The sequence below is a fragment of the Homo sapiens genome, chromosome 18 (genome assembly GCF_000001405.40).
Source record: "Homo sapiens chromosome 18, GRCh38.p14 Primary Assembly".
In the NCBI taxonomy this organism is placed as follows: domain Eukaryota; kingdom Metazoa; phylum Chordata; class Mammalia; order Primates; family Hominidae; genus Homo; species Homo sapiens.
The window spans coordinates 77,192,154-77,195,162 of record NC_000018.10 but is presented as its reverse complement, the minus strand read 5'-3'; positions in this window follow the sequence as shown (position 1 = coordinate 77,195,162).

Genomic DNA, 3,009 nt, shown 5'->3' with positions numbered 1-3,009 from the left:
ACAAAAACACATACACAGACTAATGGATCAGAATATAGAACCCAGAAATAAAGCCACACACCTACAACCATCTGATCTTTGACAAAGTCAACCAAAACAAGCAACGGGGAAATGAATCCCTATTCAATAAATGATGTTGGAATAACTGGCTAGCCATATGCAGAAGATTAAAATTGGACCCCTTTCTTATACCATAAAAAAATCAACTCAAGATGGATTAAAGACTTATATGTAAAACCTAAAACTATAAAAACCCTAGGAGATAACCTTGAAAATACCATTCTGGACATAGACCCTGGCAAAAAATTTCATGACGAAGATGCCAAAAGTAATTGTAACAAAAACAAAAATTGACAAATGGGACCAGTTAAACTAAAGAGCTTCTGCACAGCAAAAGAAACTATCAACAGAATAAACAGACAACCTACAGAATGGAAGAAAAGATTTTCAAACTATGCATCTGACAAAGGCCTAATATCCAGAATGTATAAGGAACTAAAACAGAACAACAAGCAAAAATCAATCAACCCCATTAGAAAGTGGGCAAAGAACATGAACAGACACTTTTCAAAAGAAAATATACACACAGCCAACAAGCACATGAAAAAATACTCAACTTCACTAATCATTAGAGAAATGCAAATCAAAACCACAGTGGGATAGCATTCACACCAGCCAGAATGGCTATTAAAAAGTCAATAAAGAACAGGGGCGAAGTTGCAGAGAAAAGGGAACGCTTATACACAGTTGATGGGAATGTAAATTGGTACAGCCATTGTGGAAAGCAGTTAGGCGGTTTCTCAAAGAACTCAAAGCAGAATTACCATTCAATTCAGCAATCCCATTAGTGGTGATATACCCAAAGAAATATAAATAGTTCTACCATGTAGGTACATGCGTGCATATATTCATCACAGCACTATCTACAATAGCAAAGACATGGAATCAACCTAAATGCCTATTAACAGTAGATTAGATAAAGAAAATATGGAATATAGACACCACAGAATACTATGGTGTCATAAAAAGGAGTGAGATAATGTTTTTCGTGCAATGTTTTTCAAGCTGGAAGCCATTATCCTATACAAACGAACGCAGGAACCGCAAACCAAATACTCACTCATAAGTGAGAATTAAACATTGAATACACGTAGACAAAAAAAAGGGACAACAGACACCAAGGCCTACTGAAGGGGTTGGGGGGAAGAGGGAGGGGTTGAGAAATTACCTATCAGGTACTATGCTTATTACCTGGGAAGTGAAATAATCTGTACACCAAACCCCCGTGACATGCAACTTACCCATATAACAAACCTGCACATGTACCCCTGATCCTAAAAGAAAAAAAAAAGAAATAGCAGACGGGTCATGATTTTTTTTTTCAAACAGAAATTTTAAAAGATTGATTGCAAGCTCCAGATGAATTATCATAGCTTATCATTAGCAACATTCAAAAATGATTTATGAAAGATACAGTTGATGAATAGTTTAAAAAGATGATGATGAGGATGATGGCTTCTCAAGAACAGTATTTGCTAAACTAATGGCATGTACCCTCTGGACATTATTTCCAAGCTGGTAGCTCCAGGAATTTCATGAGCATGATGTAACTGGATTGCCACAACGCATAGGATAAGTCTCTTGTAGCACCTTCAATAAATCAAGAATAAATAATGGCAGCAGGTTTCCACAGTGAGGTGGCTCTCTGAGTAATATAATCATATTCCCTGGGCCTGTGCATGAATCTGATGCCCTTCTGGAGGGCACTCTCATGGAGACCACAGGGTTCTGCCAGTTGATCACTGCTAGTCCTATAGTAGGTCAATGCACTGTAATCACACCTAGCAGATGTATCTATGGATGGCAGGGCTGGAGAAGACAGCTGGTCTGCTGGATGGGCAAATCAAGATTAAAAATGATCCAACAAGTTAGGATGACAGGCAGAAATCAACAAGACACATGTCCCTAGAAGAACTGAAAATGCCTGAATTTTAGATTGCCAGTATAGAGATAGACGGAGAAAATTCCTGGCTTAAGAGAACTCATGGGAAAAATTCCTACAGGTAAATTATCTATAAAACTCACCCAGCACAGTGGGGGCCACCTTCAGAGAAAGGTTATCTTTAAAACAAGACAGTTAATCGTCATCTTAAACTCTGACATTGGTTAGACACTCCCAGGCCAGAGTTCAAATGTGGGTGCCCCATTTTAGGAAGTCCAAAAAAGAAGACCAACAAATAAACTGAATTGGGGTCCAAAAAGTCATGTCTAGACAAGGCTTATATCTTTCTTTCCCACACACTCCTCTTTGAGTCCTTTTTATCTACCCAAAATCTCATTCACTGGCCAATGGACTATAAGACAAGTTACCAAAAATTATTCAAAATAGCTAAAGATGAATATGCTGTAGGTAACAAACATCACTCTATCTGGTAAATACTCTAAAAATACTTATGTCCATCTTTATCTTTTTTAATTTTTGCATTTTGAGTATTTGAAGATTTTTTTCTAGGAAAAAATAGTTAAGATGCTTAAATTCATATACTAAAGCATAACTATATACTATACTTTTGTTCTCACCACTCTATTCCCAGCCTTGGGAAGAGCTTTTTGCACAGAGTAGGCTATCAACAAGCAACTGCTGAATGAATTAAGGAATGGACAGATGAGTGAATGAACTACTGCTCCATGGCTTATCTCTTGCCAGTCTTTGCATCTCTTCTCTTCCCTGGGCCTCAAGTGGCCAAATCACTTACAGTACCTTGGAGCTGCTCTTCCACCTGTTGGAGACTTTGTCCAAGCTGTCTTCTGTCTAAGTGTTCCATGCTGGGCCCATCCGTCCCCTAAATAGGCCCATACTGTGCTTCCTGGCTCTTCTTCAAACACAACATTTTCTAGTAAGCCTTTCTTCATCCATTCTAGAATATAAACTAGCTGTGATTTGGGTGATTTTTTTTCTCAATTGTTGACTCAATTCTTTACAGTCACTGCTCCTTTTGAAGCCATCTT